At 39.7% G+C, this 23,672-nt stretch overlaps 1 protein-coding gene across 4 annotated transcripts in view; it reads left to right on the forward strand.

Moving 5' to 3' along the window:
* Positions 1-17,256, forward strand: part of ZCCHC4 (zinc finger CCHC-type containing 4) — a 57,610-nt gene extending 40,354 nt beyond the window's left edge. For 2 of the 4 annotated variants that reach the window (NM_024936.3, XM_017008129.3), the window contains 5 exons: positions 8,732-8,853; positions 9,099-9,174; positions 11,327-11,378; positions 11,895-12,039; positions 15,902-17,256. In NM_024936.3, coding sequence (NP_079212.2) covers positions 8,732-8,853; positions 9,099-9,174; positions 11,327-11,378; positions 11,895-12,039; positions 15,902-16,037 — 531 coding nt within the window. In that variant the 3' untranslated portion in view covers positions 16,038-17,256. Of the gene's footprint in view, positions 1-3; positions 49-8,731; positions 8,854-9,098; positions 9,175-11,326; positions 11,379-11,894; positions 12,272-15,901 lie in introns of all 4 variants that reach the window. The other 2 variants (XR_925324.4, XM_011513835.3) reach the window with 2 other exon arrangements.
* The last annotated feature ends 6,416 nt before the right edge of the window (positions 17,257-23,672 follow it).

A 23,672-nucleotide genomic window follows, 5' to 3' on the forward strand; every position in this document is an offset into this window, starting at 1 on the left:
CAGGCTATTCCCTTCTTTTTGGACTACAGGTTGTTTTTACCTTTTAAGGTAATATAAATAACACTGCTGTAAACACCTTTTATGCATATAATTTTTTCATGTTTTATATAACTTGCTTAAAATAGATTTCCAAAACTGAGATTACTTTATCAAATATAATGGACTTTTTTATGGCTATTAAGTAGCATTAACAGGTTTTGTTCTAAAAGTGTGTAGCACAAGCCATTTTATACTTGACTTCTTGAGCTCTGCTTTGAGCAAAATTTATATCATAAGTCTTCTCAAAGCTCATTTAACTCGTTTTTGGGGCATCAAGTTTTCTGTTTCTTGTCTGAGGGATGCTTCTAGTATTGACATTTGCAATACGGAGATAGCTGACATATTCTAAAGAAGTTAACTACGTAAACGGGTTCTAGTTTTCAGCAGCATCTTCCGCCTTTGGCAATGGATGGTCATCTAGTGCAATGTTTGGCACACAGTAGGTGCCATGTATATGTCAAATGGATAACTGAGTGAAATAGCATGAACCCTGGAGTCAAAAAGGATCTGAGTTTTAATCCTGGTGCTGGCACTTACTTAACCCCTCTGAAGCTTATCTTACCTGTTAAATGAATGTGGCAATATATCTGTCTTTTAAGGTTTTAAGGATTTTATGAAATAATACCTGGAAAGGCTTAGCCCTGTCCTTAACACACAGCAAGTATTAAGTTTAGGTTCTTGCTGTCGGCATTGTCATCACCATCACTGTCATTGTCATCATTCAGATAGTCCCAAGGTAGGGGTAAAACTCTCCCTCAGGTCCTTTTTTGATAAATCTGAGAGATTAAAATTGCATAATTGTATAAATTGGGGCAAAAGTAATTACAGTTTTTGCCATTCATTTTAATTCATTCATTCCTTTTAATGGCAAAAACCGCAATTACTTTTGCACCAACCTAATAATTCGTGCCCTTAGAAAACTGTTACATCCATATTTAGAGAGGAGTTTTTCTTTTTTCACTATGGGCAAGAGTTTGAAATGGTGAGAGGACAAAAGAAGACAGATCCAGAATACAGCAGATGAGAGAGGCAATTTTGGAGTAACCAGCTGTCACTTGTTAGGCAGTCTGTGTTACTAGGAAAGAACTTTTGGAAATATTAGGGTTACAGTTTTGAGAAATAGTTGCAAGGTCCAAGTGTGGACAATAATTATGCACTTCAGTGTATTGATGAAGAAAGGTTCTGATTAGGTCATATGTGTCTGACAGGCTAAAAAGCAGTCTTCTCAATAAAGAGAAAGCCAACCTTTGGGAAAAAAAATGAGAACAAAGTCTAAAAGCAAATTTGTTTTTCCTAATTCCTGCTAAAGGGAAGAACAGTACTGTCCATTACATGCTCATGTTGGAGAAACTGTGCCGTATCTCCTCATGTATTTATAAACATTATTTGATTACGTTCTTGGACAATTTTTCTATTTTTTGAAAATTTCTCTGGACCTATTATTCCTTTCTGAGCATTTTGCTTTCCTCTTTTTCTTTTGTTACTTTAACTTCATTAAAATTTTTTTTTTAAATAGTGATGGGATCTCTCTGTGTTGCCCAGGCTGGTCTCGAACTCCTGGGCTGAAGCGAGCCTCTCACCTCAGCCTCCCAAAGTGCTGAGATTACAGGTGTGAGCCACCATGCCTGGCCTAACTTCATTTTGTGGTACTTTTTTTTCTTGTATATTAGCCTTCATTGAATGAAAACTTTGAGTCCCCTCTCCTTCACAGATCTTTTCCCATAGACCTTGATTAGGCCTTTTTTTTTTTTTTTTTTTTGGACATCACCTGAGATGATTATAAGCCCCCAAACCACAATGCAGTAAAAAACCCCAAATCACTAAATCCCTTCTTTGGAAATACTTCCCAGGTAAGAGGAAGGCAGAAATGCTGCAAATCTTCATAAAACATAAATTATGTAGACTCTTCAGTGATCAAGCACTTGATGAATACAGAATAAAACAGTCATCAAAGACCTAGAAAACCAAGAGTTTTATTAACAACAGATTAGAAAGGAAGGATGTGATGATGAAAAGAAACTCTGATTTCAAGTCAGAAGTCTGAGTCCTGGCACTGCCTTTTAGAGACCACTTAATCTTGGGAGAAGTCACTTTATCTCTCCAGGTTCTGTTTCCTTACCTATAAAATAAAATGATTGAATCAGAAAAGAGATGGTAGATAAGTTTCTCTTTTGGTACTAAGCCTGATAAATTGCTAGTGATTTTCTGGAGAATTTGTTGAGAATACCAGGCTTGGTAGCAAAGAGTAATGTGATTAGTGGTGTCCACCATGGGGGTGGGGTCAGGGAGTGGTGGTGTTCATGTCCTGAATTTTCTGTGTCTGAATTAGATGATCTCACCTCCTTTCCACCTGAGATGTTCTGCTCTCTCTTGTATGTACTTAATATGGGACACTTGTTTGGGGTGTTAAAAATATAGCTCTTTGCTTTTGTCAAAGCTATCCTTTTTAAACATCAGCCTGTTAGGACAGTATGTTTTTCAAGATTAGTTTCACAGTCAGAAATGAAGATATTTTGGCAGCAATTTCTGGAAAATTATTGCAAATTAAAAGATGGCTACCAAAATTCTTAAAATTTAATCTGTAATAAACATAAAACATGTAGTGGGTTTGAAGTAAAAAGGGGTATAAGATGTCCGCATGTCAATTTCAAATGAGAGCTTATGGGATATGGGTATTATGATAGACTTTGCTGCTGTGGTAGAAGCTGGTTGCTGGAGCAGAAGAAGGTACTGGGGACTTTGTGTGTGTGCTGAAATCCAATAGAACACAATCCTTAGGGAGTTACAGAAATGCAAGTACTCTGTCTTATTTAATCTTTCTTTCCTGGCCTGATACCTGGAACATAGTAGGCACAAAATAAATGTTGACATGGACGTCTCGGTCTCCATTTAACTAGTTTCAGTCTCATGTTACAGAAGACATTTGCGTATAGATAAAATTAAAAATTGGAAATTGCAGAGATTTTGTGCTTTCCCTCATTTCTATACAGTACTTCATCACATTAAATCAGTTCCATGGGAGAAATTTTCTATTTGAAAATGCCTCTCATCATCATTGTGAGTGAAATGTCAGGGATAATGATGGGAAAATGGTGTATCAGCTCTACTACTAGTGATAGGCAATTTGCAAAATTGTGTTTGCTTTACAGCACTTCCATAGGAGGTTTATTTGTGTGGCTGAAGCTATGAAATATGGATATATGTTAGAGGTACATTAATTTACTCTAGCAGCATGCATTTTACATACCATATGTTTATAGTTAATTAGCACAACAAACCCGCATTTAAAAATAATAATAATCTCAATTAGGTTATGCAAAGTCAAGCAATCAACCACCTTCCTGACACATACATTCGCTGACTCCTTGGGTAACCATAAAGAAATTGTTCTTTTTTTTTCCCTCTCTTCCATCTGCTATCTAGTATATTGCATAGAATATTCCATGTACTAGAAACCTTTCTAAAATATTATTCTCCAACATTTGAAAAGCTTCATATGAATCTCTTGGGAAGAATTTTTTTATTATGACACTCATAAATGCTCAAAATATCTTTGTTGAGTTTAATAAGGTACCGTATATTTATTGAGTACACAGAGGAGTGCATTAGGGGAAACATTATGAATTTAAATGATTTTAAAAGAAAATGACTTATGGTACTATTTTCAGGTGATTTTGTAGTAAAATCTATTTTTGTATGCTAGCCTCTAATAGATAACATATTCATAGAATTTTCAAAGTTAGAAAGAAACAGGTAACGTAGGCTGACTTCCCAACATAATAATCCTCTCCACTAAATTCATGACCAGCCGTCATCCAGCTTCACTTGAATGCTTCCAGTGAGCAGAGGACTACAGCCTTAGAAAGCAATGCAATTTATTTAATAGCTCTAATCGTTAGAAAATTTTCTCATATGGAGATAAAATATGCTCCCCATTAACTTCCAACCATTGGTCCTAGTTCTATTCTCTGAAGCAATAAAGGATAAGTCCAATTGCTATTCCATATGACACACCTTCAGTTATAGAATAGCTATCAGATCCTCCCAGTCATCTCTTTTCTGGATAAACATCCCCAATTTGTTAAGCTATAAATTCTGTTCATTCCCATTATTTTTCAAAGAAATGAACTAGTTTTATCAACGTCTCTCCTGAAATGTAGTGACTGAACACAGGGCTTCAAATGTGATCTAACCTGAAAGTTTCCTTGTTGTGATACTGTACTTCCAAATAGGCCAACTGTGAGTCCGTGCCAGCTTTTACACAGTTATGCTGGACTGCAAACTCACCATACTGACAGCCAGAAACCCTTAGGGGCTTTTCCACAGTGTCCCTTGGGTCTCCTCATCCTGTGCTACAGTGTACTTAGTTTTTCCCACTGCTGAAGCTTACCCTTAAACTAGACAGGGCTGGAGAACGAGCCTAGGAATCTCCCCTTAAAGGCCTCTCTTTCCCTTGTCCTCAATTTCTTACATTTTTGTGATTCACTTATTAAATAGCTAGCTTACAAGCCAGTTTTGTTGTAAGTTCTTTTGTATTCTTGTTTATTATAGAAACAATTCAGTACATAACTTATTTGAATGTCAGGCTTACCTGTACTGACCTCATAAAAAACCTCATGGTATTCTTGTGGATAATCTAAAGCAGTGGTTCTCAAACTTTAGTGTGCCAGGAGGGCTTGTTAAAACACAGATTGCTGGGCCCTACTCCCAGAGTTTCTGTTTTATTAGGCCCTAGGTGAGGTGAGAATTTGCATTCCTAATGAGATCCCAGGTGACACTGATATTGCTGATCCAGACACCACACTTTGAGAGCTACTGATGTAAAGAAAGGTGGATTTAGTGGCCAGGTGGATTCATAGCAGTCTTAAAACCAAATTGAGAATGCTTGTGGATAATAGGTTGGAGGAGGAGACTGAAGTAAGAAGCTAATAGAAGTCATGCTTGTTCACTTCGGTTTGCTTTCAAGATAATCTGCTGAAACTAAAAGTTGAGTTAAGGACCTTGAGGAGAGAGGTACATGTTTGAAATAGTCACTGTGGGGAGAACAACAATAATTGTGAACCTGTGTCTTCATCTCCATTTTTTACCTTATGCCAGGCCTTGAATAGTGTTTTACAAACATTATCTCATTTAACCTTCACAGCAACTTTAAGTACCGGTACCCTGTTCTTAAACATAAGATGACACAGAGCAAATTTCACACACAGAATGGGAAACCCTGACCAAATGAGCACACATCTTCAAAGACTGAATTTTTTAATGCCAAAAGCTAAGTTCTTGAATACACAATAGACTTTCTTGTAAAGTCTGTTGTATTAGATAAAAGATTAGAGTTGTTCCCTTAATACTAGACAATGTGAATTTGTCATAACAAATCTCTTTAATAATGAAATTTTACTGCTACAGAAGCTGTTGGTTAATAAGTAAACTCTTGCTCTTAAGAATTTCTTGTTAAATACTATCTAAGAGAGATGGCTGTGCTTTAGTCAGGAGTAGGCCAAGGCAGCTTTCCAGCCGCAGCATGACTCAGCGGGTTTGGAGCACAGGTGCACAACTCTGCACGTTATGTAACCACACCGCAGGTGCATTAGGTGATCACTCGTGAGCTCGTGCTTGGCTTGGAGCCACTATTGTCTGTAAAAGGTATAATTACCCTGCTAACGCTGTACATATGGCCTGTGCCTAGGTTGGCTCATGCCCGGGCTCACTTGCACCCAGAGAGAGAGTAAAGCCATGTTGAAACTGTCTACAATTCCTCGAGTCTTTTTCCAGTTACCCGCCACTGGTCTACCCACTCCCCTTGGTCCTCTGTTTGGGCTGAAACCTGACACTTGGCGTGACAATTGACATCACGAACAGGATACTGAGGAGAGTGAGCCTTCATTCCCTGGTGATTCTGGGTCAGCCATGTGGCCACAGCATGGGTTGTGGTGCCCATTGTCAGCTGTGCTGCTTGGATGGGCTCCAATGGAAACCTGGGCAGCAGTAGATGGGTCCCCCGCAAGCATGGAGAAGGTACTGAAGCAGCTAGAAATGCAGAGCACTGAGAAGGAATGAGCTTTTGCCAGCAGAGTTGGATGGGCATTTTTGACTGTGCTACGAGAAGTACACACCCAGTCCCTGAGGGATGCAGTACAGATAAGGGCCCACCAGGTACAGATGGGGCACCTGGAGGCCTGGCTACACAGCTCAGAAAAAGAGTTAGAAGCTGCCATGAATGGGGACCTCCAGGCACAGGCGGGGCACCTGGAGGCTCGGCTACAGAGCTTGGAAAAGGAATTAGAGGCTGCTCTGGATACAGGCCTGGGTCTGTTGTCTTGGCCAGAGACCGCCACCTGGTCTGATACCAAGGAGGCTGTTGGCGGGATCAAGGGGTCCGTGCCACAAAGAAGGGAAAGATGCCCCACCTGCAGGGGTGCCCCCAATGGGAGAAAAGGGGGTCCCAATGAGTGACATGCTCACAGATGTGGATAGATTTGATTTTGGCCAGGGTCGACTAGGAGAGAATTGATAAGCAGCCCAGTGAACTTTGTGGAGACAGTTGTTTCCAGAGCAACAATTCCAGAAAATACCCAAGCAGGAGAAGAATGTTTCTGCGCGACCTGGTCCCACCCTGGCACTCCAGCCTAAAGACTATGTGCTGCAGCCAGGTGGGGTTATAAAGTCTTTTCTGTTTGATGAGGGAACTGGCCGAGGTTTCCCTCCCGAGGAGGCCACATGTGAAATTAGCAATCCACTGGTCTCCCACCAATGTACAGCAAGTGCTGGTGCTGGTAGACACCAGCGCAGATACATTCTGGGGTTGGATATTTTACATGACTTGGCAGCTGTGCCGTCTATCACGGACTTGATGGACCACTTGATGGAACTAGGACAGTATCACTATATAGTGGACTTGGCTAATGCATTCTTTTCCAGAGAGCCAGGAACAGTTTGCCTTCATGGGAGGATGACAGTGGACTTTCATAGTGTTGCCGCAGGGCTTTTTGCATAGCCCCACCATTAGCCATGGTCTTGTTAATGATATTATGCTAACCTCTGATTCTCTTGCAGATTTAGAAGCGGCAACACTCCCCTTGCCTAGAATTAAGATGGTGCGGCTGAGACCGCCTTCCTTGCAGCCAAGTGGGCCATTTAGCGGGCATATGCCCTATAGGTAGTTGACCGGGGCACCCATTTGAGCTGGATGTGCTTGTGACTACAGATAGTTTTGGCTGGGGCCAATAGCAGTGCATAGAGAACACCCTTGGGCTTTTGGTCCCAGCTGTGGAAGGGAGCTGAGCCCCGTTGTTCATTGATAAAGAAGCAGTTCATAACTCATATGCTGCCGTTCAGATTCATGAGAGCATGGCAGGACAGGCTACAGACATTGTGCATACGACTTGCCTGATAGTGTGATGGATGTGTTCATGGATAACAATCCCCCAAACTGGGACAGTGCAGGCATCCACTTTGGCAAAGTGGGGCACCTACTTGGAGCAGCAGAGTATGCTGAGTACAAGTCCCTTAGCAGCAGAGTTGCAAGAGGTCTTGGGACCTGTAGTCCTAATGCAAGATAAGGCCATGGTGCCTGAAGCAACCCTACACCTTGAGCCATTGCTGTTTAAGAAAGGGCATCCCCACATTCCTGATGGGGGGGCATGATACACAGATGGGTCTAGCCAAGGTGCTACTGCTGCCTAGACTGCTGTTGCAGTCCAACCTAGTACTGATACCATATGGTTTGAAACTGGGCATGGGCAAAGTAGCCAATGGGCTGAACTTAGAGCATTGTGGATGGTGATCACCAAGGAGGTGACCCCTATGGTAATCTGTACTGATACCTGGGTGGTCTATCAAGGGTTAACCTTGTGGTTAACTACCTAGAAGTTACCAAGGTGACTAGTTGGTCACCAGCCCCTGGGGGCCAGGCCATGTGGCAAGACCCTATAGGAGGAAGGATGACCTCCTCCAACCAAGTATGGGGACAAAAGGTAATCTGTTGTTGCCTGTCCTAATGCCTTTAAAGGTAGGGGAACAAAAACCTGGCTTAATGTATAAAGCAACATTGGGGTAACGTCACCATGAGGTGGTTGCCTGCCATAACCTGGAGCTGTTGCTTTCTGTGTTGTTGTGTGTTATGAATTCAGGGCTCCACCCTATGGGCATGTGTCCCTGCCCAGAGGACACCCTTGTCCAAGGAGGTGGAGTGTAAGAGAGATGGCTGCGCTTTAGTCAGGAGTAGGCCGAGGTGGCTTTCTGGCACAGCATGACTTAGCAGGTTTGGAGCGCAGTCGTACAACTCCACATGTTATATAACCACGCCATGTGAGGCTCATTAGGTGATCACCCACATGAGCCCGTGCTTGGCCTGGAGCCATTGTTGTCTGTAAAAGGTATAATTACCTGCTAATGCTGTACATATGGCCTGCACCCATGTGGGCTTGCACCCACAGCTTGCGCCCAGTCTCGCTCATGCCCAGAGAGAAAAAGCCATGTCGAAACTGTCTATGATCCTTGAGTGTTATTCCAGCTACCCACCACTGGTCCACCCACTCCCCTCAGTCCTCAGCTTGGACTGGAACCTGACACTTGGCATGACAAATACTTTAACTCATATATTGGCATCAGTTTGTTCGTTTATTGGTTAAAGAATCTTAATGTTGACTAATTTGAGTAAATTTTCTTTCTGCTCTAATTTTTAACTTTCTAGGTAGATTATGATAATCATGCACTTTATAAACACGGAAAGACAGGTCGAAAACAGTCTCCCGTGCGTATTTTCACCAACATTCCGCCCAACAAAATAATCCTTCCTACTGAAGAAGGGTACAGGTAAGATCACAGTGGAACTTTGAAGTACACAAGTCACTGAAAATAAAGTTACATATATCCATCAGTCAAATGCTTTCAGTATTGAATCATGTTATTCTTCTGTTACTTTTAAATTAGGTCCATAATTTCATACTTAATTGAATTCAGATTGCACCCAGTTTTTGTAATGAGTGCTTTGTAAAGTTTTATCTACTCTGTAAATCTCAATAAATGTATGCAGCTGATTTCTCTGTCCTTTACTCTAGATTTTGCTCTCCGTGTCAACGGTATGTTTCTCTAGAGAATCAACACTGTGAGCTCTGTAATTCTTGCACATCCAAGGTATGGTGTTCTTATAGAATGTATTTTTATTTAGATATATTCATTTTATTTTAGTTTACTAGTTTTATTACTTTTTCAATGTTATTTTGTTAATAGGATTTGTATTAATATGTATTATCATTTATTAATTATGCTATAATACAATATTTTAAATTATAGAGTACAACAGGCTTTTAAAAATACTTAACTGCCTTCATTATCACGAACTCATTTTCAAATGGTACTGTGTGACTGCTAAAATTATCAGCGTCTCAAATAAGGCATTAAATGAATGCTCAATTATGTGTATGTTGAGGACAAAATTATGGTGTTTCAAATAAGGCATTGACGTATTGGGTACCATCATCATTCTGATGAAATAATTAATAACATGTACTGTGCACTTTTAATATGCCAGACACTTTCCTAAGAGCTTTACATGGATTAACTCATTTAATCCTCACAACAGCCTTATTAGGTGCAGTTACTCATTGATTTTTTACAGATGAAGGACTGCAAAGGGACATCCTCCTATTTATTTATTTATTTAGGTATTATTTTTTCTTAATAGACTTGGTTCTTTAAAGCAGTTTTAGGTTCACAGCAAAATTGAGCAGAAGGTACAGAGATTCCCCCTATGTCCCCTGCCCCGACACATGCACATTCTCCCCAACTAGCAGCATCTTCCACCAGAGGGGTGCATTTGTTACAACTGATGGGCCTGCGTTGACACATCATTAACACCCTGAGCCCATAGTTGACATTAGGTTCACTCTTGGTGTTTTACATTCTATGGGTTTGAAAAATGTATAATGACATGTTTTCACCATTACAGTGTCATACAGAGTGGTTTCACTGTTTTCACTAAAAATCTTTTGTGTTCCACCTATTCATCCTTCTTCCTGAAGGGTGTCTCTGGCTACTACTATCTTTTTACTGTCTCTATAGTTTTTCCTTTTCCAGAATATCACACAGTTGGAATCATATAGTATATAGCCTTTCAGATTGGCTTCTTTCACTTAGTAATAGGCATTAAAGGTTCCTTCATGTCTTTTCATGGTTTGATAGCTCATTTTATGTTAGCTCTGAATGATATTCCTTTGATGTACCACAACTTGTTTACTCATTCACCTACTGAAGGACATCTTGGTTGTTTCCAAGTTTTGGCAATTATAAATCACCAAATTTTTTAGGAAGGCGGGTGACCCTTGTTTTGTTTATTTTAACTAAATCTGGTCAGAAAGGGCCTGTGAAGTTTAGTTTGGCTCATAAACACAAATTATTCTCCAAAGAAGAGGCTACATTTATATAAACATTAGAAAGCACATTTTTCTTGATTATATAATGGTATTACTGGTTATACTTGTTTTTAACAATGTTAATACATCTGATCGTTTATATTTAGTTTTTATTAGTTGAGACATGATGTGTATTCTTCATTTTAAAACAATTATGCCCAGACTGTATAGTTTAAAGTTGAGGAAAATGGACTTATTATTTAGAGATGCACACAAAGGTGGTAAAAGGAAGCAAGAGCTAGGAAATGACAGTCACACAAACTAAAGAGGTGTTATTTGGAGGGGAAGGGAGGGATGCTGTGACTTAGTAGGAGCATGGGGCAGTTTCCAGAGGGCTGGTGGTATTTTTTCTTGACCTGGTGGGTTTTATCCGTGTTTGCTTTACAATACTCATTAAATTGGATATATTTTATGCACTTTTCTAGATATTTTTATTTCATAGTTTTAAAATTAATCAAACAGTAACCTGTAATCTATCTTTCTAAATTATGTAAAGTTCTCAAATATGAATTTCATTAAGGATTATGCAGTATAGACACACAAAATTATGAATCATTAATTCTCTTGAAATTTTCATTTGAGTCCTTCTTTGTGCAGATTGGGTTGCTTGAACTGGAGTGGATTTTCAAGATCATTTAGATAAATCTCCTAGTTTTACAGTTAAGGAAATTGAGGCCCATCAAGGAGGCATTTGAGTTGAGTGGAGAAATGCATAAATTAAAATCAAAGTATCTAATTGTGAAGCCCAGAAAAGGCAGAAATAAGGAGTGAATAATTTACACAGATTTTAATAAGACATTTTAATTTTTAATTGTAGAACTTGATTTTTAATAACAAATTAATTATAATTTAAAAATTGTTTTTTTTTTTGGTAGGATGGCAGGAAATGGAACCATTGCTTTCTCTGTAAAAAGTGTGTAAAGCCTTGTAAGTATTGAGACTTAGTGTTTGAGATCCTATGAACATATTTTAGAGTTTTTCTCCATCTAAATAGATTTTTCATTGGATTTATAAACGAAAAAATAATCAGTGTAGAGACTTGTAATTTATTTGCTTTTTAATTTTATAGTTATCAGCATGTATGTTCTGCCATGTTCCGCCTTGCATGAGAGATGATTGCTAACCTGTTTCAGTGTGGCGTTTGGTTTGACTTATTTTAATAAGGCATTGTGTCACTCAGCCAGCCTCCATTGTAACAGTAGCTGTCAGCTCATAACTCATTGGAGAAGGGCTGAATTTGTTGCATGTAACAGAAAGAAGTTAGCTAGTTTATGTGGAATTCCAACCTCTTCTCCCTGGTCTCTTTAGCCAAACTAAAACTAGCTGTGCAAACTGGCCACAATACTTCAAGTAAACACTGTTCGTATATCCTACCTTAAAAGTTAATAAGATGAAAAATTACGTTACATGAACTTCCTTTAAAACTTAATTTTTATTTTACAGCCTGGATCCACTGTAGCATCTGCAATCACTGTGCTGTTCCAGATCATTCTTGTGAGGGCCCCAAACATGGCTGCTTTATTTGTGGTGAACTGGATCATAAACGCAGTACTTGTCCTAACATTGCTACATCTAAGAGAGCTAACAAGTCAGTCGAATACTTTACTAGAAAAATGTATTCCATCTGTGTTTTATACAGGATAATCCACAAAAGCATGCAACATTCAGAGGATCTTGAAGTGCCAAGTTAATTGTCACTTTCACTATTAAGTACTGGCTGCATAGATGGATGGAGGGAGGAGAGGAAGATGATTCAAAGAGCTTGCTTTCAAAGAGCTTACAGTTCTACAGCTTAGAGATGAAAATAACCAAAATATGAGGTAGAAAGTGGTTAATTTTACCTCTCCTTGGCTTTACGTCTCATGTGTAAAGTTATAGGGGGTGACAGTTCATGCTTTATTGAAGGACATGATATTTACGTCAGGCTTTGAGGGACAGATCAGATATAGACACATGATGGCAGGAAAGGCTGGAGAAGGCATTTCAGATTGAATAGCAAGTAATTCCACAGTAGGAAAATTGTGAGAAAGCTATTTCTTTGTATCAAATTTTAAGAAAAATATTTAGACATGCTTAATGCTTAAATATTTGAAATTTTTATTACTTTTTTTCCTGTGATTATTTTCACATCTCTCACCAATATTTGATTGGAGCTATGGATTACAACTCAGAGTATGGGGATACCTATGACAATAGCTTATTTAGAAGAGGCACTGCTTCTGGAATAGTTATCCCCAAAACAAAACAAAAAGAGAAAAACATTGCTATTTTAACCGAGCTAATTTGAATGATTATACTTTTTTCCTAACTAAAAGGGATGATAGTGATTAAGTCCTCTTCCTTTATTGCTAAGAAAACTAATGTTACACAGTTATTAATTGGAGATTACCAGACAGCTAAATTTGACATTATATGAAATTATATGACATTATATGAAAATTCAGATTGGGCTACCATGTGACTATGACTTGTAATTTAAAAAAATTGATTTGTGTTAGAAATATCTGATAGTTTAATAATTATTTATGGTAATATTAGAATTCTTTCCCATGTGTTTTATTTATTTGTGGTCAGTGAAAATTTTTTTTTCCATTGTGGTCTAGCCACTTGAATTCTGGCTACTATTACAACTGCCTCGTTCCTACATTTACTCTACTTTAAATAATTATTTCCACTGAGTAATCCAGGATAAAGTAGAGTTTTAAAAACTTAAAGAAGCTTATTGAAGAATCTTTTTTTTTTTTTTTTTTTTTTAAAGACAGAGTCTTGCTCTGTCGCCCAGGCTGGAGTGCAGTGGCCTGATCTCGGCTCACTGTAAGCTCCGCCTCCCGGGTTCATGCCATTCTCCTGCCTCAGCCTCCCTAGTAGCTGGGACTACAGGCGCCTGCCACCATGCCCGGCTTACTTTTTGTATTTTTTAGTAGAGACGGGGTTTCGCCGTGTTAGCCAGGATGGTCTTGATCTCCTGACCTCGTGATCTGCCTGCCTTGGCCTCCCCAAGTGCTGGGATTACAGGCGTGAGCCACCACGCCCAGCCTGAAGAATCTTATAAAATATTTTCCTTAGAATAAACCTTCAAAAATTGAATACAACTTCATAATCATATTAGTCTGGGATTGCTGTACCATTGTCAGTGTGATTCTGTGTGGTAGTCAGTAACGTGCTCAGCCTTTAATTCTGTGAACTTACATGGAAACAATTTGCATTTTGATACTCTATTGTAGGCCCTTCATTGCTTCCTAAATAGCCTCAGCTAGTGTGTTTGGCACTAATATACTATTTCATTAGGGGAAATCATCTAGTATCTTTCAGGACTAGATCTTATCAGGTTTAATTCCAAGAGCAAATCCTGTGAGATGTGGATGCCTGATAATTCTTAAATAATATTACTTTTTTTCTCAGAGAAGACACCTAAACTCCTGTTAATAGTTACTGCTTTCAAAAAATATATATAGTGAAATTGACAAAGCAAAATTATTTTTTTCTTTACAATAGTGAAAAATAACAGCCTTTTTAGCATACGTGACATAAAAGGTCTTTCCAGCTCATGCATTTTACAGCTATCTTATATTAATTTGTTTTTCCTTGGTGTTAATTTTTCTTTAGTTGCTAACTGGAATGATGCTGGCTCCCTCTTGTGGTTAAAGCTCATTTTATCAGTTACATAAATACCTATAATTTAAAGGACAAATACTAGGTCAATTTAATTTTAAGACAAAATAAAACTGACTTATAGTCAGTTCATCATCATTCAAAAACTTTATCTCTGGAAAGTTTTGTGTATTCATATTACAAATGAATATTTTCAAATATTTTCCTCCTGTTTCTGTTTACCGTATCCCCTAGTGAAAGTTCATTCATTTTTAGTCCTGCTTATAAGTGGATGAGCCAAAGAGAAACTTAAATTTTGTGTACAGGCACACATGGCTTCATTGACTTTGCCATTAGAGATTATACTATATTTCATTAAGTTTGCTAAATCATCACTTATCAAGAAATTATCCTACTTTAAAAAAGTGGGGAAATAGATTTATATAGTATGCATGAATCAGTATAATACTGTAAAGATGACTTTTTTGGTTTTAGTTTTCAATCCTACTCCTTCTGTAGACTGTTCTATTTTGAACTGATAAGGTATCCCTAGTCCATAGTGCAAAATCTAAATATGAAAAAATTTAAAGTTGTCAAGCAAAATTCTGCATAATAGTCATGTGGAACTAATAATAGCTAATACTTATTGAGTGATTATTATATGGTTAGCAGTTTGCATATATAAATAATTTAAAGTAGAGTATATAGTAGAGCACAGATCCTGGAATCAAGCTGGTTCTGCAAGTTCCTCATGGGGTGTTCATTGATTTCATAGCATTTTCACCTAAAAAAGTAGGGATAGAGAGGGGGTGACTATCCCCCTTATCTCTGTCTCCCAGCTCCTTGAAGTCAAAGATTATGCCCATTCATTTTTGTTTTCTCAACAGGTAACATATGCTGAGTAAACAAAAAGTGAGGCATAAATTGAACCCATTAGGGGATACATTGTTTATGAAGCTCTTTTCCCAGGTTTATTCCTGACAAGATCAAGAATAAGCTTTTCCTATGGAGAAGCTTATGAGAGGTGAACCTAACAATTGATATTGCTGGGTAATCAGGGGAGGAGTCCTGGTTTGGCATTGTTGTAGCTCTGGCCCCTTCCTTGGTTCTCAATATGTTGAGTGTCATGGCATGATTCTGCTAGCTTGGAGAAGTGAATGGATGGGCCAGTCATTTTCTCAGCTGCAGGTCGCCTGTAACTTAGTGTGGAGAACACCAGAAACAAAGAATCTGTTTTGTCTGGTGTGGTTCAGTGTTTTCAGAGGGTGAGTTCCAGCTTGTTTATTTTGAAGCTAATCTTCAAGATAAGGACCACAAAATGCTGATAACCCTGCGTGGCACTTGTCAGGACTTTTAGATCCGCTGAGGAAAGGAAAATCTGTACGACTTAGGAAACAGGCCCTTTCAAGGCTTCTCGGTTTTTTCCATTGTGCTGTTTCATTTTTCTGTCTCTGCTGACTGCCCCATGTATCAGCTCCTCTCCAAAAAAAACGGAATTCAAGGATTTGGAGATTGAAGTGCTGAGTTGAGCAATACAGATGTACAAAAAACTTTTTTAAAAAGTCCAATCTCACTAGCTTTGCATTTACCTCTGTGGTGTGTTTGCCCCGGACAGCTTGTTCTAAATCCATAGTAACCATCTTTTAAAGAATTTTTTTTTCTCAAACATTTTGCTTGGTTAGGCCTCTGACTCTTCCCTTGTTGTTATGGTTAGGAGACTGAGGATTTATGCTTGCAATACAGTAGATTCTTTCCCTTCTTCTATTTTCTTATTTGGTTAGCTAGTTAATTAAACTTCAACATAATTACATAATTCACTGTGCTCATTCTGTGAAATAATTTAGCACCTTGTTTTCCAGAGCTGTCAGAAAGCAGAAGCAAAGAAAAAGTAATAAGATGAAAATGGAGACCACGAAAGGACAATCCATGAATCATACATCTGCTACAAGGAGAAAGAAAAGGAGGGAAAGAGCCCATCAATATCTTGGCTCTTAAATGTCCAGTGACTGGAGAATAAGAAAGATTTATGGTCCAACCTTTGATGCCATTTTCTGAAAGTGCCACACTGGACTTAAATTCAGCTGCTTCCAGAGGTGTGCACCTTTCTGAGCTAGATAACAGGCAGGTGGCATTTGCTGGTTTACAGTCCCTTATCTGCCTCTCTGGAGACATGGGGAGTTGTTCCATCTTCAGCCAGTTTACTAGTTCTTTCAGCATTCATTTTTCCTCACTTTAAGTCTCTCCCAGTCACATTGTTCTATTTTTATGTTTTCATTTTTTTTGAGATGGAGTCTTGCTCTGTCTCCCAGGCTAGAGTGCAATGGCACAACCTCAGCTCACTGCAACCTCTGCCTCCCGGGTTCAAGCAATTCTCCTGCCTTAGCCTCCTGAGTAGCTGGAATTATAGGCACATGCCACCACGACTGGCTAATTTTTGTATTTTTAGTAGAGACGGGGTTTCACCATGTTGGCCAGGCTGGTCTCGAACTCCTGGCCTCAAGTGATTTGCCTGCCTTGGCCTCCCAAAGTGCTGGGATTACAGGCATGAGCCACCTCACCCAGCTCCGGTCACATTATTCTAGCCTTTTTATCCAAAAAATGGGCAGACCATTCTTTTGCAGAAGATGTCAGAAGAAAATGAAAGTGAAAACCTATGCAGTTTGTTTACCGTGAACATAAAAGTATGTTAATTTAAATAGGAAAATATTTTATGTTAAATATGAAACAATAGTTTAAACCCCACTTGAAAAGTATAGCGTACAATTATTTTTAGACTGAATTTGAAGATGATGGAAAGGGTTTTTACAAAGGCACTGTTTAGATATACAGATTATAATTATAATTACATTATTATTAAATATTTATTCTTCAAGTACTTTTTGCAGTTGTCCTCTGACGGTCTAGAATCACTTAAATGCTTGTTGAATGAGTGAGATGTTTAGAACTACGACTTGCTCTGTCATTCCAGTGTCGTTTAACCTATGCAGTAAGATTCTGTCTTTGTAAAAGTAGTTCGTAGCAGAAGCCAGGATAGTTTGGTAATTAAACGCCCAAACTAAACTCCTCATTCCTACCCTTAATATTTCCTGGCTGTATGATCTTGGCCAGGTCACTCTCTAAAAGCCCCGGTTTCTTCATTATTATCATTATTATAATGGGGAGAATAACAGCTATACCTGAGGTTTGTTTTGTGATTAAATTAAATGAGACCCAAGTGCTTGGCTCTCAGTTCTCCTCTGTCATTGGTGTGTTAGGTTAACAATGAAGATTGTTACTGGGTCTAATGGTAATTACCTTTTGGCCTGATAACAAAGCATTGAAGGCAGTAATTTGAACTCCCAGAACAAACAGTTCATCTCCCCGTTTCTGTGCTAGTTATTGTCTCCTTAAGACTGAATTGTTTTGAATGACTTATATTTGCATAATGACTTTTCTCTTGTTTCCAAACAACTGCTGTAGAGCAGATTTGAAGGCATCTTTGTTTGGGGTTAGGCAGAGCCCTGTAAGTAAGGGTGGAGGAACTGCACTCTATCTGGTATTTAAATTCCAGGTAAGTTAGGACTGATGCCTGGTGTAGAATGCTCAAGTGTGGCCCAGATCAGTGTGGCAGTGGTGTACATCAGTTGATGTCAAAAGATGAGTTATACCCCTGGACTTCATAAGCATCAGAAAGCTCTTCTCCCTTTTGTTACATGGAGGGCTATGATAGGAGGGGCACATTTGGAGGTGACTGGGTGAGATATGAAGTTTGTAAAACCGTTGTGAGAGTTCCCCTCTCTGATTCAAGCAAGGATAGGGACATTGCCTGACTTTATGGTGTTCACCATTCCATGATAAAATCTATTGAAATCTCCTCTGAAACTAAGACACCTGAGGGACTATGACTACTGAAAAATTGAGTTCTGAAGGCCAACAGTTATTCTCATCACTATATTGCCTTAATGTTAAGATACCATCAATTATAAAATACATCATTGATTTTATCATAGCTTTTCAGGGGGAGAAGAGAAATAATACTTCATTAATTAATTTTTAGATCATCTGATTTCAGAAATACTGAAATGCAAAAAAAAAAAAAATCTTAGAATTGAGGAAATAGTTATAATCAGGAATAATGTACTTATTTATTTTGAGACAGAGTCTTGCTTTGTTGGACAGGCTGGAATGCAGTGGTGGGATCTCTGCTCACCGCAACCTCTGCCTCCTGGGTTCAAGTGATTCTTGTGCCTCAGCCTCCCTGGTAGCTGGGATTATGGGTGTGTGCCACCACACCCGGCTAATTTTTATATTTTTGTAGAGACTGGGTTTCGCCATGTTGGCCAGGCGAGTCTCAAACTCCTCATCTCAGGTGATCTGCCCGCCTCAGCTTCCCAAAGTGCTGGGATTACAGACGTGAGCCACCACACCCAGCCAGGAATAATGTACTTTAAAACTTTATTACTGTCTTAGAAAGTTAAAAATAGGAAATTTGGTGATTTTACACTTATATTCAATTAATACTAATTTTAAGGACTTAATCTCTATTCCTTTTTCAGAGAATAAACTAATTGGTAGCCTGTAAAAATGTGTCTCTGGGAGGTAGAATGTGAAGCGGGATGAGGTCATTTGTTCTTAATAGAAATCTGAACATCTTAACATTAAGATACCTTCTCAAAATAGCAATAGAAGAAAATCCCTAAAATTTGACAGATAACATTTTCTAAGCTTTTTAAAAGGACATTTTTAATAAATACAGCTAAATTTCATTCTTCTTATATTATGAAATTTAATGAGAAACAAAGTCTTTTTGTAGGCTGGATTTCATGTTTTTTCCTAATTAGTCCAGTACCTAGACTAGTTTATCACTCCATATGCCCCATTCTTTTCATCCGATACTGTTCTTTCTGCTTGGAATATGTCCCTCCATGTGGCCACTCCGTTCTCTTTTGGGAATCTTCCACGAGTCCCTGATACTGAAACCTTCTTTGGCCCCTTGGTGTTTGATACCACATTTAAGGCCTTTCACATATTATTCTGTGATTATTTTTACTGATTTTATTTCCCTCAAAGATTTAGGTCTCTTAATGTCAGCACCCATTTCATCTGCTCTTGTGTATCTTGTGCCTTTTTGGTGCTCAATAAAAATTTGATGTAAGCATGGAATTTTCTAGAGGCTTTGAAGTGGTAGGCATGCCTGAAATACGGACTGGACCCACTCTATTATGTTTCTTCTAGGGACTGAAAAGGGAAACAGATTTGTATTAGGAGGCACTTAGAGTCAATATGAGGACCACCCTAACTGAAGTTTTAAATGTGGGGATGTGCTGCGTGAAGATTAGTAGCCTTGTAGCAGGATGAGCCGTGGACAAAACCCCACAGACACCAAGATAGTGAAGGAAGTAGCTTTTAATCAGTTGGAAGCATCGACAGTCTAGTGTCTTAAAATCCGAGTTTGTTGAGTGCACAATTTCTGTCCCTTTTAAGGGCTCACAACACTAAAGATTTTACATGACAGGGCCGTGATCGATTGAGCAATCTAGGGGGTATGTGACAGGGGCTGCATGCACCGGTAATCAGAGTGAAACAACAGAACGAGAAGTTTCACAATGTCCTTCCATACAATGTCTGGAATCTACGGATAACATCGGTTGCTAGGTCATGGGTTGAATTTTAACTATCAGGCTAAGGTCAGGCAGGCCCAGGCCTGGTTTTGGGTCTGGTGCCTGGCACCCGGCTGCCTGCCTTTGGTTTTGCTTCCTTGTTTCTTAAAACAGGTACTGAGCATAAAACAATATAGAACAATACGGGGGGGGATCTCTTTCTCTCTTCTCTCAGCTTTATCTGCAAGACCCCTTCAAAGTAATCTGCAAAATACTAGGCATCTGGGAGAAGTTTGACTAATCTTGAAATATAAAATCACAACCTACAAAGGGTCCTGGTCAGCTGCCACTGCCTTCACAATGTCCCTGTTGGTCTCTCCACTGGAGTAGTACATCTGTTGCCAGAGAAATAAAAATGTCAGTTTGTGTGTTGTTTTTATACTTCTTTTATGGTACTTAAATCATGCCTTGTATAAGAATGACTTTATATACTTGTTTAGCCCTGTACAGATTAGAAGCTCGTTGATGGCAGTGCCTGTGGACATCATTGTGTTTGCTTACTAGGCACATGCCTTTTCTACGGCGATAGAGATGACCAGCCGCATCACCTGTGACCTCAGTTAATGGGAAGCAGGCAGCCAGGCTAACACATTTCTTCACCATCTAGGTAGTAGGTGCTCATAAATACCAACTGAGTGAACGGAAATGCCATTTAATATACCGCTTTATGCCTCACACCTTAACTATACTATGGAAGAAGCAGATACACTTCGAGCTCTCTAGGTAGGACAGCTTCCACAAAATCTAAAGGAAAATCCAGTTTCACTTATTTGATGTGATTTTAGTTGGACCATGAGGACCTGGGCTGAAATTAAGGGTCAACTAAGAAGGTCATTGCAATAAAGTAAAGATAAGATCTCTGCTATTTGATTTCAGGCAATTTAGTATAAATGTTAACTCAGCAAGATGAGGCTATAATAGCACCAACATTGAGCAACAAGATCTCAGAGCCCTGAGAGGCTGAGTTTTATCCCAGTTGTCTTTGGTGGAACAGTTAGTTACAAGATCCCTGGTTTAACTGCTTCATACCACTGGATACTAGAAGAGGTGAAACAGCCGGTAATCTCTAAGATGGTAGGCCTGAATAGATGGGTCAGTTTCTTCATCTGCAAGTGTGGAGAGGAGGAGTGGGAGAACACTAGAGGAAGTCAGCCCAAATATTCCACATGCTTAAAGAAGACAGGCCAGGTGCGGTGGCTCACACCTGTAATCCCAGCACTTTGGGAGGCCAAGGGTTGGGGGGGGGTGTGAAGGGTGTGGATCACCTGAGGTCAGGAGTTCGAGACCAGCGTGGCCAACATGGTGAAACCCCGTTTCTACTAAAAATACAAAGCCGGGGATGGTGGCGGGTGCCTGTAATCCCAGTTAGTTACTCGGGGCAGGATAATCACTTGAACCCGGGAGGCAGAGGTTGCAGTGAGCCGAGATCACGCCATTGCACTCCAGCCTGGGCTACAAGAGTGAGACTGTCTCAAACAAACAAAAAAAAAACAGAGGAAAACAAAGGTTGCTGCCTGTTAACTTTACAGTTAATACATGAGCCAGGTAAATCAAGGAAAAATAAAAGCATCTCTAACCCTACCACCCAGAGATAATCACTATTATAACTTCCCTGTCTACTGTTCCAAAGATAGGTTCTTGCATAAATAGGCTTACAGACACATGCAAAAATTTCCCTCAAGAAAATGGAATTTTAAGTACATACTGTTTTATGACCCATGCTTTTTCATAAGTATACTGTGAACATCGATTTATGTCTGCATAATATTCTTCAGGATAGATATATTTTTTAAAAATCTATGATGGGACATCTAGGTTGTTTGCATTTTTTCACTTTCGTAAATAACCTTATAATGAACATGCTTAAGTAAATATTTATTTCTCCTGCCCTTGCCTCCTTAAAAAGCACTGATAGCCGATCCCTGAGCCTTCTTCCCTTTTTCTCTTTATTCTGCAGTATTTTCCTAAGGATGGGGGAGGCAAAAAACGGAGTAGGTAGAGCTAAAATCTTTATGGGGCAGTGGGAAAAAGAAAAGGCTGGAAACACGATGTGTTAATATTTCTTGTCTTACGGCTACTTTGGATCATTTCCAAGAACAATTCCTGCCCCTTACTGCCTACCAACACACATGAGGGTCTATAGCAAGCTTGTCTAACTCGCAGCCTGTGGCCCAGGAGGGCTTTGAATGCAGCCCAACACAAATTCATAAACTTTCTTAAAACATTGTGAGATTTTTTTTGTGATTTTTTTTTTTTAGCTCATCAGCTGTCATTACTGTTAATGTATTTAATGTGTAGCCCAAGACGATTCTAATGTGGGAAGACAAAAGATTGGACACCCCTGGTCTATAGCAGCATAAAACTCTGCTGTTTCCTGCCCACATCTGGAACTCCACACTTAGGCTGTTTCCTTTGCTGTAAGGCTTAGAAAATTTATATTCTGTGAAGACTTAATGTGCAGGTGGTTATACTCTGTCCTTTGCAGTACGGTGTTTATGCCTCTGGGAACAGTGATTTTCACGTGCTGTATGGGTGTTTGTATTCAGGTAAGTTCCAGGAAAATGGACATTCAATTTCCGTAAGAAGGTTAATGTGCATAGATACTAGACCCCCACCAGGTGATCCATTATAACTGCCCCAAAACACTAACACCTGAAAATGCATTTTGTGAAAAACAAAGGCAAATGCATTTTTACCTTAGAAATGTTGATTCTGGAAGAGTTGGGGGCACTTGGTAAGTTGTTTGTGGCAAAGGCAAGGGCTGCAAAGCCCGTGACAGGAAGCAGGGTAGGTATAAAGTCAAGGATTAAGAACAGTACTTGGCACAAAATAGTTACTTGATGCTGAATGAATTAGTCTCCCTCCGTCATCTACTTCCCAGGGGCTAGATCCAGACAGAGGTCAAGAAGATGGGGCCTGTTGAAAGTTAAAGGACCTGCCGTCTGTTTCTTCTTTGAACAAGTGAAAGGTAGTAAAAAGTAGATGGCTTTCTACCATAGGTTTTAAGTTTAAGAACCCTAGGATGGTACTGTCACATTCTCTTAGGGAGGTCATAGCTGTGGGAACTGTCAACAGGTTGACTCATTTAAATGTGTCCTACATAAAGCAACATCAGATGAGTTCTGATTTACAAGTCTGCCAGGCTGGCCTGTGAGCCTCTGGGCAGAGTTCCCGTCCCATGCATTGCTGTAGCCTCAGTTCCTCCACATAGTAAATGCCCAAGTACCTATAGAAGAAATCGTGTGTGAGCCCACACTCTTTTTTTATATTTTAGAGACGGAGTCTGGCTCTGTTGCCCAGGCTGGAGTGCAGTGGCACAATCTCGGCTCACTGCAAGCTCCGCCTCACTGCAAGCCCCGCCTCACTGCAAGCTCCGCCTCACTGCAAGCTCCGCCTCCCGGGTTCACGCCATTCTCCTGCCTCAGCCTCCCCAGTAGATGGGACTACAGGTGCCCGCCACCATGCCTGGCTACTTTTTTGTATTTTTTAGTAGAGACGGGGTTTCACCATGTTAGCCAGGATGGGCTCTATCTCCTGTCCTTGTGATCCGTCCGCCACGGCCTCCCAAAGTGCTGGGATTACAGGCGTGAGCCACCGCGCCCGGCCCTGAGCCCACACTCTTTATTCGTTATGACGGTGCTGCAACTACCAATAAGTTGTGAGGGTTAAATGGGATGAGATGTCACAGTATTATTTGCCTGTTAGGGAGGTTTTAGGGCACGCGCCTCTTCTCTCCAAATTGGAATCACCCAAAGAGTTTTAGTAAATACTGGGCCCATCCAGGGTTAATTTTCTTCTAATTGGTTTGGGGTGCTGCTTGGACAGGGGGACTTTTAAAATTCTATACTGACCCACCAGGACTGACATGAGAACTACTCGCTTAGTAACTGTTAGAGGAGGCGCCAGCTGATCAGGACCTAAAGTTCATATTCTTTTTCATCTCCCCGTTGTCGCTGAAGCCTACCCCATAAACCCCTACCGTCCCTTTGCC

The sequence above is a fragment of the Homo sapiens genome, chromosome 4 (assembly GCF_000001405.40).
Source record: "Homo sapiens chromosome 4, GRCh38.p14 Primary Assembly".
In the NCBI taxonomy this organism is placed as follows: Eukaryota; Metazoa; Chordata; class Mammalia; order Primates; family Hominidae; genus Homo; species Homo sapiens.